Consider the following 13,973-nt stretch of genomic DNA (forward strand, 5'->3'; position numbering starts at 1 on the left):
AACTTTGTTTCTATTTCCGAAGGCTTTGCCCTTTTCGGTGACACAGGCTGTTGCTATTCCAAGCAGCCTATCACAGGCAGGGGGAGGGCCGTGAGTCAGAGGATTGTTTTTGCCTTTAGATGCAGAGTTGGAAGCAAGGGGTTAAAAGAAAGGGAACTCAGACGGAGTGTTTGGCCATTAGCTAAGGGTAGCTCTTGTATTCTAGCACCTTTGAAAAGAGGCAGAGAAAGGAAACATGCAGATTTAAATGCAAGCTGAGAGTGGGGATAGAATACTCACAGATGGTATCAGTTAATCTTGCAGAAAGAGGAACAATTTATGCAAAGACATACCAGAAGGAAAAGTGTGTCAATTTTTCAGCAAGACTGTTATTCCAAAAGTCATGGTATTTACCAGCTTACACAAAGCATAAAATACCTTTATTGTTTCAACCTGATTTTGGTCTAGGTAAAGGCCTATATCTTTCTCTCCAAGGCCTTTCAGATAAATCACAGCCTGAGACCAAAAATACACAAACTCAGAATGCACAGATTCTTTAGACTTTTTATATGCTGAGGTTATAGCAAAGTAATCCATTTCTTAATGCAGAATTGTCTTTAAGAGACAAATTAACACTGAATCCTCTGTTAGGTTTCATGTTTGCGTAGGTAGGAGGAGGATACTCCTCACTCAGAGAGGCCAGACTAAGTGGCCCATTGTGTGCGTGTGGTGGACATGTAATCTCAAACAAAATCAGGTCATGAGAGAGGATCTTTTTCTGATTTGTGAACATATTTATAAAAAAGTCTTACAGGGTTATGACATTTTACCTTCAGTTATTCATTCAACAAATCATGTTTATTAAAAAAAAAAGCCTTATAGAGGAAATTGAGATCATCTTAAAAATCATTTGGAATAAAAACTAACATGTGTGGAGCACTTATGTGCCAGAAATTGTGCTAAGCGCAATAACGCAGATGATGACTTTGAGGCAGGTACCAACATTATAGAAGAGGAAATGGAGGTTGGGTAACTTGGCTACAGTCTCACAGCTAATCAGTGGTAGAGCTGAGATTATGAATCCAGGAGGTCTAAAGCTGTAACTCTCCTATATTCTAACTTCCCAGCCTTGTCCTTCTCTAATTTTCTTGGCTTCCTATGGTTTCAGACCTACTCGACTTTAAGAAGATGCCGTGAAATATGGCTTTTAGTCATAGGCATTTCTCTGGACAGAAAAACAAATTTGTGCTTGTATAAGCAGAAGCTAAATTTTTGTTACTTCTTTTCAACATTTTAACTGAATCACTTCAAAGTTCTAAATTCACTTATTTGTACATTTCCTTTGCTTGTCATTAAATAATTCTATATTTTTCTTATCTTTCAGGGAAACAGGTAGCAAATGGAAACAAACCTATAATAATTCAACTAGTCTTTATTATGTACCCGTTGTATGTCTGCTGATAGTGCTAGAAAATGGAAGTCCTCCAGGCATAATCCAGGCCCCTTATGATTAAGAGGGTGAGAAGTTCAGAATCCCACACATCAGTGTCCCCACTAAAGAATGTGTAACGCAACCATGGTTTGAAACAACTCATTTTATTTGTTCCCAGGGTGCATTATAATTATATAGGAGTCCCAGTTTCTATCTGTGAGACACATATGTTTCCCATAAGTTCTCTATATTCTCTTGGCTTCTAACTTCTTTCTGCTCAGAACCAATGACCTCATTAGGGGGAAAATGTTCTTGCAATGGGTTAGTTGTATCATTGCTTTGTTTCGTGATCCCACAACCTGTGTTTCTAGCAGCTTCTTGGCCCCATGGGAGTGTTAGAGTGTTTGCTATAGTGCTTGACTAGACAGAAGACAAAACTAATTCCAGAATACTTTACTATGGTTAAAAGCAGTTCAACAGTTCTCACTCTGTTTTGTGTAGCCAAACCATACAGGAGATCCACAGGCATAGTAAGCCAACCAGGAGTCAAAAAGAATGCTCAGCAATGCAACTGACAACATCACCTCCTGGTGCTCCTAATTCTGTTCTTTATTCTGCTGGTGACCTGACCGGGGCCACTGGCTATCTCAAGCTCTGTTTGTACTTACCTCAATCTCTTAACTCAGAGAAAAGTTTAGGGGAGAAAATTTTTTTCACCCAGACTAGAGGGGGGAAACTCTGCCTCAATTCTGTTACGAACCCTGTACTTCTCCTTCCCAGCCTTTTGCACACCATAATGTATTTAATACAGTTAAATGCGGTGATTCAATTAAATCTGCCTTTTCTGCTAGATTGCAAACTCTATGAGAGTATGGACTATGTTTGTTTAGTTTATTATAGTATTCTGCGTGTCTGGCACTCAGCAAATACTCAGTAAGTATTTGCTGGCTGACAGACTGATCCCTGTAAATCCAATAAACTTTAGCAACACTAGAATGTATGCTCCAAGAGGGCAGGCACCTATTTCTATCTTGCACATTCGTCCAGCTCCTAACACAATGCCAGGCATGCAGTAGACACTTAATAAATATTTGTTAGATAAATGAGTGCTCACAAATAGAGCTTTTAGTGACTAAATAACTATTTAGTTTTTAAATATTAAAATCCATATGATGATTGCCTATGACATTTTGTCCTTCCTCTCTGTTTCTGCCAATTCCTTTAGACCAAGTATAACCACAGGCTATCCATCTTCCCTGGAGTTTGAGCCACTTCCATTATTAAAATCTGTTCCTCCACTCAAGGAATTCATAATCAGCAGACAGCAGACAGTTCATTCTTCATAACCCCAATAATTTTGCTACATACCACTTTGGACCACTGCTCATAGGCAATGCTACCAAATCCAAAAACACCTATCCTGACTTATAAACTGGCACAGCGGGGAAGAGGGGATGAAAGACAAGCAGCTTCACAGGGCTCGTAAACATCTACCATAGAGCATGCCTATTTTCATGGCAATTTTTTAAAAGCTTCACAAAAACCTTGTGAAGTAAATACCGTTACTTCCATTTTGCAGAAACTGAAACCGAGAAGTTTATGAAACATTTCTAAGATCAAAACATTTTCCAATGTTGAATTATAAAAATTTGAATCCCACAGGAAAACCTACACTCGACATTTTACCATGCTTGCTCATTCACATCTATATATAACAATTCTTCCATCCATCAGTCGATCCGTATTAGTTTTTATACATATCAAAGTAAGTTGAAATACTTCAGAATGCATATTATTAAATAGAGTTCAATACTAGGTTCTTTTTTTCAAGACAAAAAAGCTCCAGAAGCAACCAATTTTCTGATATTTTTCCACATAGATTACCTTTGCTTGTTCTAAACCTTAATTCATATAATGGAACCACAGAGAATGCAGCCTTGTGTAAGGAGTCTTTCACTGAGCATAGTTTTGATATCCATCCATGTTTTTATGTATATTAGTAGTTCATTTTGTTTATTGCTGAATAGTGTTATATGGGTGAATACACCACAGTTTATCCATTTTCCTATTGATGGACATCTGGGCTGTTTCCAATTCTTTGCTATTACACATAAAACTGTTATGAGCACTCTTGCACAAGTCTTTTTATGCAGAACATAACATTTCAGAGCACAGCAGTTCAAGTCCATTTGATTCCAAAACCCAAATGCTTTTCACTACACCGTATTGTTTCCCTGCAGTGCACCCTGCAGTGCACATTGATGTGGAATGCACCTTCTACAATGGTTCATTACAGTGTAAACACAAATGGGAAAATATGGTCTTTATGCAAACAAAAAAATTCCAAATACAAATTCACTTCTTGTTTAGCCTAATTGCAATAAAATATTCATCTTGGTATGATTGTTTGGAAGGATGTTTATTATTTCACTGTTTATACTATCTAAATAACTTCTCTATCTGAAAGTTTTCATTATGACTTCTTTCCTTAGGTGTAGAATATTATCACTCATAACATGTTGATTAAAGTTCCTCAAATTACAAAGTAAGTGTGGTTAAATTTATTATGGTATGTTCACTTGCTATAACATGTGATAAATCATTAAAAGAAAGACAATGTAGCAATGCAAGAAAATGTTTTTCCAATTATTTTAAGTGGGAGAATCAAAGTGGCATACAGAAAGTTGCATACTCATTACTATTACAATACTTTCTTAAAATATATGCGCCTATTGGTAGAGACTGGAAGGAAACTTGGAACAACTGAAAATAACTAATAGGTTGAGGTGGTAAATCATGTGTAAAAAGTACTGTCTTAAAAGTTGTTTGCTTAATGCTTCTATCAGATTGTATATATAATAAATATAAATTTGAAGAAAACTTCTTCATACTTAGGGCTGCCATATACCATTGTGCAATTTGGACACAGTACAACTCTAAGTGGGTCATTCTCATTTGCAGACAGCAGAAGTTTGCTTATTTATAAAGCAAATCTTCCAGAATATGACAATACTAACCTGAAGAAAGGGCAGCTTTTTCTAATTTGCTCAAAGGTACATTTGGGCAACTGATGGGGCTGTTCAAATTATCATCTCCCTTTAAATCACACCAATGTCATATCTATTAGTTTGGCCCATGTCTGTCTTTGTACTGCCCAGCTACGTGGAATGAGCACTGTTCTTCCTTTGATTAGCTATTTTTCCAAATAAAGTATTTTTAACTTAAAAATCTCTCTCAGTCCGATTGCCATGACCCTTGGATGGAGGGCATTAACAAAAAGCTGTTCAATGATTAAACCTTTCCTTGAGATTAACCTGCCTTTGATACCATGAAGTCAGAAAAAGTTGCTTGATCATACATGACAACAAGCAGTAGTTATTGGGTTGGGAACTCTGGTCTGCTTTCATTACATGTCCCTTGTTTGCCAGACAATAAGGAGGGCACTGCACAGAAAATGACTACTTTCCAAGTTTAAATAATCTGAATAACTCAGGGAAAATCTGGAGCAGAAAGCTTACTGAAATGCGAAACCTTGTGCTCAGCTTCTGAAGATGAACTCATTATATTTCAGCTCAGGTGGACATGTTAGAGCTTGTCACGGGCTTTTATTTTCTTCTAGGCTGCCCAGGATCAGAAGATCCTTCCTGTGTTGGGAATCCCCCTCTGCAAGGAAGAACCTGTCTCCTAAACAGAAGCTGGAAAGGCCTGATACTCCCTTTTCTCTTAGGACCAGGCTCTGCCAAGCAGTTCATGCACCCTGGATTTTGCATCAGAAGCTGTAGCACAAAGTAGCAGGATCTACAGGCCCCACCTTCCAGTGAGGATGGTGGCAGTGGCTCTGGCCAAAATATTTAATGTCAGAGTTGCTAGATATACACTGTTAGGTATGTGCTCAGGGGTGGCTAGATTAGCTCAAAGCAGGATTTGGGGAGTTATTCTTGACTACAGTTTCCAAGTTGGAGTTGGTTTCTGTTGCTTTAAACCAAGAACTAGGAATGACACCAGACTCAACTAGATAAGTCCTTTTTCATGTGTGCAGAAGCAGATTAATCAGGAAGCTAATGAAGTTTAAGCTGCAGGGCCCCTCACCCACACCAGCCCTTCCAAGACCCTGGGAGGCACCCAGCAATGCATTTATATAATGATATGTTTTGTAAAATTTGCTAAAATGAAATAACTGCAATCAGTTAAGACCACTAATGCTTTGCACCTGGCCAGCAACATCTTGTTTCCTTTGTGTCATGTGACATAAGGGTGGCCATGGAATATTTGGGATCTGACTTAAGATCAGTGAAGTTAGAAAAAAAATTTTTTTTTGTATTTTTTTTTTTAGACAGAGTCTCACTCTGTCACTCAGGCTGGAGTGCAGTGGCACAATCTTGGCTCACTGCAACCTCTGCCTCCCGGGTTCAAGTGGTTCTCCTCCCTCAGCCTCCTGAGTAGCTGAGATTACAGGTGCACACCACCATGCCCAGCTAATTTTTTTTTTTTTTTGTATTTTTAGTAGAGATGAGGTTTCACCATGTTGGCCAGGCCATTCTCAAACTCCTGACCTCAAGTGATCCACCTGCCTCGGCCTCCCAAAGTGCTGGAATTACAAGCGTGAGCCACTGTACTGGGCCTGGTTTTGGTTTCTCATGGATAGTTCACAAGCACTTAACTAATATAGAGTTAAGCCCTCACTAGCTCTCTTGGAATAGAAAAGACTTCCAGGAATTCTCTTGCTCCTCACTATGCCATCTCATGCCGTGCATATCCCACATTATCACTCACGTGGCACAAAGATGGAAAAGCACAGGGCTAGAGGCTATCTCTCAGTGTGAACTTGTCCTACAGCTCCCAGGGCCATGGCAGAGGGCCATGCTAGAGGACAGACTGGGTTCTTTTATTTTCTTTATATAGAAAGTAATGTCACAAAAAAATTGTGTTACAAAAAAAAGATCAAAATGTGTGCAATCAAAAAATGAAGGGAAAAAAGTATTATGGAAGTGTATCAGGTAATTCCTGGATTATGCAATTTTTGTAATGCTTGGCAGCTTTTTATCATTTGTAATTTACTGCCAGGCATGATAGCTCATGCCTGTAATCCCAGCACTTTGGGAGACCAAGACGGACAGATCGTTTGAGCCCAGGAGTTTGAAACCAGCCTGGACAATATGGTGAAACTCTTTCTCTACAAAAAATACAAAAATTAGCTAGGCATGGTGGCACATGTCTGTAGTCCCAGCTGCTTGGGAGGCTGAGGTAGGATTGCCTGAGCCTGGGAGGCAGAGTTTTCAGTGAGCTGAGCTCATGCCACTGAGCTGAGATCACACCACTGTACCTCAGCCTGGGTGGCAGAGCTAGATAGACCCTGTCTAAATTTTTTAAAAATTGTAATTTATCAAAATAAATATTCACCTTTTTTTTTTTTTTTTTTTGAGACAGAGTCTCACTCTGTCGCCCAGGCTGGAGTGCAGTGGTGTAATCTTGGCTTACTGCCAGCTCCCAGGTTCACGCCATTTTCCTGCCTCAGCCTCCCAAGTAGCTGGGACTGCAGTCACCCGCCACCATGCCCGGCCAAATTTTTGTATTTTTAGTAGAGACAGGGTTTCACCATGTTAGCCAGGATGGTCTCGATCTCCTGACCTCGTGATCCGCCCGCCTCGGCCTCCCAAAAAGCTGGGATTACAGGTGTGAGCCACTGCACCTGGCCTGTATTCTTATTTTTTAAAACAGAGCCCCCAAATTTTATAAACATCAGGCCCCACAAAACTTGGTTCTGCCCCTATGAATATGTTGGAGAAGTATAGTTCTTTCCAGATGACCATGTTTACTAAAAACCTTGTACCTCCATTCAGTCCTCCTCATCCCCATTACCACCCTCTAAATCCGGGCCACCTTATAATCTCCCACGGGAAGAGCTGCAATAGCCTCTAACAGGTCTTCCTGTGGGCATTCTTGCTTTCCTAAGCCCATTCTCCACAGTGGTGCCAAGATTTTTTCTAAAATCTAAATACTTAAATGGCTTTCAGTTGTTTTAAACTTTTCTCCAACTTCTAGTTGTTCTTAGGGTTGATCTAAATTTCTTCATGAGGCTTAAAATGCCCCACAGGGTCTTGCATGGGCTGATCCCTCCAGGTCCATCTCTTGCCACTTCCTGACTCGACCTCTGCAATCTGGTCCCATCATGAACTATATGGTGGAGATGCCAATCATCGCCTCCTTGACCTGATATTCTTTTAGACAGTCTTGTCTCACACTTTATTGTGGTTCCCATCTCCCCACCCGCTCCTGTCCCCCACCAGCCTCCAGCAAAATTAAATTAACCAGGAGTAGATGTCTCATGCTCAGGGAGCCGATAGGACAGGCTAGGGTCCTCTCTTTCAGATCCTTTTTCTCTCTGATTAGGTTAGGGGTTGTTATATCAATTGTAGTTCAGTGCAGGAACTTCAAGTAGGAAGAAATTTAGCACAGAGAATTGGGTGCTTATATTTTCACTGGAAAGCCTGAAAGATTCCAAGCATTCAGGAATGACTCCCAGAATAATACAGAGCTGACTCATCAGCTGGGCTCCTACATCTGAGCTGCCCAATGGAGCCATGAGTTCAGGAATGCATTGTTTAAACCCAGAGAGCAGACCATTTCTGCTCCCATACCTGCATTCTCTAGGAAGCTATAGATACTGGAATGTCACCTCAGGAAAATCTCGTATCTGCCTGATTCCCTAGGATAGCAGAAACTCCCCAAAGAGGAAAACAAAAAGAAAACAAACACACTCCCTTCATATTCATCTTCGTGCAGGTGCATCTAACTGATATCTACACCCCTACTGCAAGGAAACCTGGGAAATGTAGCTTTCTAATCAATCTCTCCAGTGGGAGGGAAGGCAGGATGGAAGTTGAGAGGGCCACGCTGCTGTATCCGGCATCATAGTGAATGTTTGTGTCAATAGATCATATGAGCTGGGGCTTCAGGTCTGGGCCCTAGCAGGCCAAAGCTGAAGTTGTAATAGCAGGAGCAAAAGGGACATGCATAATAAAAGAAGCGTGAGTGCTGGACAATGGAAACTCACAGAATGAAGCAGAAGCAGGACTCTATGGCCCCACGACAAGGGTCTTGGCTTTGGGTTTTCTGTGAGGCCTAGCTGTGGTGTTTTTTGTTTGTTTGTTTTTTGACGAAGTTTCACTCTTGTTGCCCAGGCTGGAGTGCAATGGCGGAATCTCAGCTCACTGCAACCCCTGCGTCTGGGATTCAAGCAATTCTTCTGCCTCAGCCTCCCAAGTAGCTGGGATTACAGGTGCCCACCACCGCATCCACACCTGGCTAATTTTTTGTATTTTTAATAGAGACGGGGTTTCACCATGTTGGCCAGGCTGGTCTCGAACTCCTGACCTCAGGTGATTCACCCATCTCGGCCTCCCAGAATGCTAAGACTACAGGCATAAGCCACCACATCCGGCCCTGGCTGTGTTTTACACTTGCCCTTCTATGCTGAGGGACTGACTGATATCCTCTTTTCTATCCCCGCTCACTCCCTATCCATCCCCATTTGCAAGGCACTTCTGTCTTCTCTGACCTTCCCTCCCCCGGGGCTGGGCCAAGTGCTCTCCTCTCTGCTCCCAGGGCACATATTGCTCTCACAGACGGAGCATTAAACAGAGAGTGCTGTGATAATTCACTAATCTGTTTTCCCTATTAGTGTGTCAACACCATGAGCACAAGGTCGTGATCACCTTGTTCATACTCCTTCAGAGTTTGGCATGGTGTCTGAAACCTTGAGTTGCTCACTAAATATGTATTTAAAGAAATCCAGGAGAAAAGGAGGAAGAAGAAAAGGGTATACACAATCAAACTTCTGATCAACCTTATGTTGTTTCATTGCAGCATCCTTTTGAAAGTAGGTTCTAGGCCTAGTCTTGGTTCTAATTCTGGCTGTACCACTTACAAGCTCTAGAACCTCTTTAATGCCTCAGTTTCCTTTTTTCTAATAGATAAGGACAACAATAGCAGCCATCTCATAAGCTTCTTGTGATGATTAAATGAATTAATATATAGAAAGTAATTAGAACAGTATCTGACCATAGTCATCTGCAATAAATGATAGCTGTTGCTGCATCCAAGGGACTCCATAGAAGTATATAGTAATAATAGAAAAAATGCTGGGACAGGGCACAGTGGCTCACACCTGTAATCCCAGCATTTTAGGAGGTTGAGGTAAGTGGATCACTTGAGCCCAGGAGTTCAAGATCAGCCTGGACAACATAGTGAAACCCCATCTCTACAAAAAATACAAAAATTAGCCAGTTGTGGTGGTGCATGCCTGTATTTCCAGCTACTCAGGAGGCTGAGGTGGGAGGATCACTTGAGCCTGGGAGACAGAGGTTGCAGTGAGCCGAGATTGCACCACTGCACTCCAGCCTGGGCAACAGAGTGAGACCCTGTGTCAAAAAAAAAAAAAAAAAAAAGAGAAAGAGAAAAAATATTGGTTCAGGAGTAAGAGAATATAAATTCTAATGTTGGAACTTTATTATCCATGACTTTGGGCAAGTCTTATAATCCCTTTAGGTCCAGTTTCATCATCTCTAACACAGGGAGACATATACTTGCCTCATACAAAGCTGTCAACTGCTTGCCCAGAAGCAAAGCTTTCTCCTCTTGGCAATATTCCTGTAATTTTTTTATCAGGGTCAGGGCAGGGGGGATTGCATATTGCATGCGGATTTGATGTACTTGTCAATTAATGTTTACCACTCTCTACCTGCAATGACAATTAGATACTCTATCCCTAAAATGTTAGTCTTGAGAGGTAGCATTAGACTACACCCGAATAGAACAGCCATTCCCAATGGCAGAACTCAAAAAAGACCATCTATTTATCAGTTTCTATGTCATGTTTCTCCTGAGCTATTCTGTTTTTTCCCCGAGACAGTTCTTCTTATTTCAGTTCTATGAACCAAAGGCCAAGCAACAAATTCATTTTTAGCTAGTGTTACCCAGAGTGCAAAGATTCCCTAACATAAACTCTCTCAAAGGATTTTAGTTAAGAGAAAATCAGTTGAAGTATTTGAAAACATCTTAAAAACTATTAAGGTGCTATATAAATATGAACCGTTCACCAAGGCAACAGCAACAGCAACTGTAGAAGAGAATCAAGTTAATGCTTAGTCCATTTGTTTATCCATTCAAACCATGCTCTCCCTTTCTAAATAAGGATAGAAGCAGCATATGACAGGAGACTGGCAACTGAAACAGTGGTGAAAAACCAGAAAGGTCCAGGCATCTCTAGTTACAATAGCATGGCCTGACTCAGCATTTCATAGAGGCCCATACACAACTGGAGCCCCCTGGTGAGATCTTTTAACTCCCAGGTGAAAATCTGGGGGCTGCCCTTACCTCCCAGGAGTGGTGAGATAGCTGCCAGGAGAAGAAAGTGCAAGTGTAAAGGATTGAGGTATATTTCCATTCTTCAAGCTCCATCTTCAGAGAGGCTACTCCATGAAATGGCATTTGTCAAAGTTGCGATCCTTCTCTCCCTGTTGGGAAAGAGAGCCGATACTGGAAAGCTGAGAGAATCAGCTTCAGCATGAAAATAGGACGGGACTTGCTAGGACAGAGCTTCCAAACTCATCTTCTGCAGAGCTTGTATGACCACTGAGATGTTAATAGATATTCTGTGGAATTAAAAAATGAGGAGGCTGTTTCATCATTCAAAAAGTTTTGAGAAATTCTTCACATTATATGCTGTTCTCAGGACATAAAAAAAGTTTCATGTCTAAGAAATTTTGCTGTATACATGTGTAAACAGTTTTAGCGTAGATTTCCTCGCACTTTTAAATTTTGGATTCTTAATTTCCCTGTCCCCCCTGCCCCCCCCCCAAAAAAAACCTGCTAACGTTTAAACGAACACAGTTTGGGAAATCTGCGTTAAGTCCTTCGTGGGAGTGGGGTTGCTCAGCTCACAGTAGGCCACGAACCTGAATTTTCTCTTGTCTGCTGCCCCCTTTTGATAGATGGAGGGAAGAGCAGGCTTCCAGTGCAATGGACAGAAGAGGGAGCCTGCAAGTTGGTAACAGAGTCTATTAGGGAAAGAGAGAGTCACTTGAATCCTCAGAGCTGCTCCTGTCAACTGCTTTGTGCAGTTTTTGTGACTTATTAGCTGCTTGTTTGCACTCTATCTACGCCTGCCCAGGTGTGTTTGGGCCCTAGAGCGAAGGGAGCACAGGCGTTCATTTAGAAACTTATCCCTCCGTCCAAATATTGGATGCTTACCATGTGCCTGGTGCAATGCAGGGTGATACAAAGAGGAAGATAAGTGAGGCATTCTTATCGAAGGACCAGACACTCTTCCAGCCTGACTATATTCATTACACTCGTGCCTGACCTTTCTTTGACTCTAAGATTCTTCCTTTCTAAATGTGAATCTTAAAGACTGAAGTCTTTGATCTAAGACTGCTTTCTTATCACATCACATCCAACAACCAACTTTTCACAGCTTCCCAGATCCCAAATTCTGTTTAGCAAGGACACTTGGATTTTTTTGTTTTTTGTTATAAATGACCTCTTCAGGTTCATATTTTCACTATGTCCAGAATTCTTATTTTATTCTGTTTTGTGCTGACATTGGAGGCAGAGTCTGTGTCACAGAATACACCACTAGGGGTTACCCTGGACATGGAAGGGTATTCACTCGGGGAAGAAATTTTAATGGAATTTTTAATATCTAGAGCTGTCATTATCCTGTGATGGTTCACAAGAAATGGAACACTTAAAAATTTCTACAGAAAAAAAGGAAAATGTCATGAGGCAGTTTTTAGTACTTCCATCCCTTTCCTGGCTGCTCTAACTTTACAGGTACTTGTAAGTGGCAATTAAGCACTTTTTCCTAATTCCAGAGTCTTGCCCCACTTCAGAGCAACATAGAGTGGCCTAGACAGGCTGAGGTACTTTGCCGCTTCAGTCATCATTAATCTATGGTATTTACTGATGAGAAGTAAAGTGGTAGAAGAAAAAAAAATTTTCTGTTATCCTGGGCACTTGGAAATGAATGTATTCTCACAATCTGTTCTCAAAACAACTTACTGATTCTGGGGTTCTGGAAGCTCTGATGTGCAGGTGAGCCTTTTAAATTCCTCACTGTTGGAGCTCCTATCTAGGACTCACTGGCTGGATGAAAACGGTTCTTTTTATTGCTTTCTGAATGTCTGCTAGACAGGCGTAAGCAACACCTTATATCTGCCTTCTGAAAAAGGTAAAAGAACTGGGACCCATCCACCATGCTGGACAGCTCGGCAGTGGCAGTGGCCTCCCCCAGACCCTGTTCCGAGTGCTCCACCAACAAACTCACCAGCAGTCAGAGTCTAGCCTCTCCCCAAACTTCACCTTCATCACAATTCATTTTAAGCCCTTCCACAACCCAATCAACTCTAGATCTACTTAATGGATAATAATTTGATCTCATGCAAACTGCACTTTCCTCTTCTCAGAATGATCCTTCTACCCCTTAATTAAACATTTGAGAGTGAAAGAAGAGAAAATTCGGGTTCAAAGATTGGTAAGTCTAAGAAACCTAAGGAAAAGGAGTTAGTAAACATGTTAATCAAAGAGTGAGCACTTTTCGGAAGCGCAACATTCAGATACCTTTCTTGATTGGATTCCAGAAGACTATTTCTGGGAAGAGGAGATTTGCATTTTTCTAAAGTCTTCTACCCACAGCCTAACCACCCTAGGGCTTTGAAATATTTTTTTTCTGATGTGCAGTCATAATTGAATAAATAAAATGATTCCTGATCATTTCTTCTCTTCAGCTTTATAATGACATCACTAGGAATCACAACATGTAAGGATTGAAAGTGACCTCAGAGACTCTAGTTCAGCGCCCCCTTTTGACAGGTAGAGAAATTGAGCCCCCTCCATGGTTAAGTGGTTGGCCACATGGTGACTTACTCAGTGGCTTTAGTTTACAAAGCAAACCGCTAATTATTAGGTAGTAGAATTACTACTTTCATGTTATCTTTAATTTTTAAAATTATCAAAAAACATTAGTTAAGTCTGTATCACTGGTGCTGCAGAACCTGAACAGGTGCTGCTGTGGCCTGGGCCCTACAGATGCAATTCTCACATTGCCCCACCCTGAGAAAGGACCGACAAGGGAATCTGCTTGTCCAAGTTCGAGGGGTTGGTGAAGAATAGGACAAAGGCCGGGCACGGTGGCTCACGCCTGTAATCCCAGCACTTTCAAAAGCCTAAGTGGGCGGATCACCTGAGGTCAGGAGTTCAATACCAGCCTGGCCAACATGGTGAAACTCTGTCTCTACTAAAAATACAAAATTAACCAGGAGTGGTGACACACACCTGTAGATCCACCTACTCGGAGGGCTGAGACAGAAGAATCGCTTGTACCCGGGAGGCGGAGGCTGAAGTGAGCCGAGATCATGCCACTGCACTCCAGACTGGGTGAGACAGAGCGAGACTCCATCTCAAAAAAAAAAAAAAAATAGGACAAAGATGAGTATCAAACACCACTAAATATAAAATATAATCTTATCATTCCTTATCCTCAATGATACTTTCCATTTTTTTC

General features: G+C 41.2%; 2 annotated features.

Moving 5' to 3' along the window:
* Positions 7,736-8,400: an enhancer, noted in NCBI's record as "NANOG-H3K27ac hESC enhancer chr6:134381498-134382162 (GRCh37/hg19 assembly coordinates)". NCBI's record gives its function as "activates a minimal SCP1, AML or CMV promoter by ChIP-STARR-seq in primed H9 embryonic stem cells {active_cell/tissue: H9 hESC(primed)}" and the evidence as "EXISTENCE:reporter gene assay evidence [ECO:0000049][PMID:30033119]".
* Positions 8,401-9,065: an enhancer, noted in NCBI's record as "H3K27ac hESC enhancer chr6:134382163-134382827 (GRCh37/hg19 assembly coordinates)". NCBI's record gives its function as "activates a minimal SCP1, AML or CMV promoter by ChIP-STARR-seq in primed H9 embryonic stem cells {active_cell/tissue: H9 hESC(primed)}" and the evidence as "EXISTENCE:reporter gene assay evidence [ECO:0000049][PMID:30033119]".

This window comes from Homo sapiens, chromosome 6 (assembly GCF_000001405.40).
Source record: "Homo sapiens chromosome 6, GRCh38.p14 Primary Assembly".
Taxonomy (NCBI): Eukaryota; Metazoa; Chordata; class Mammalia; order Primates; family Hominidae; genus Homo; species Homo sapiens.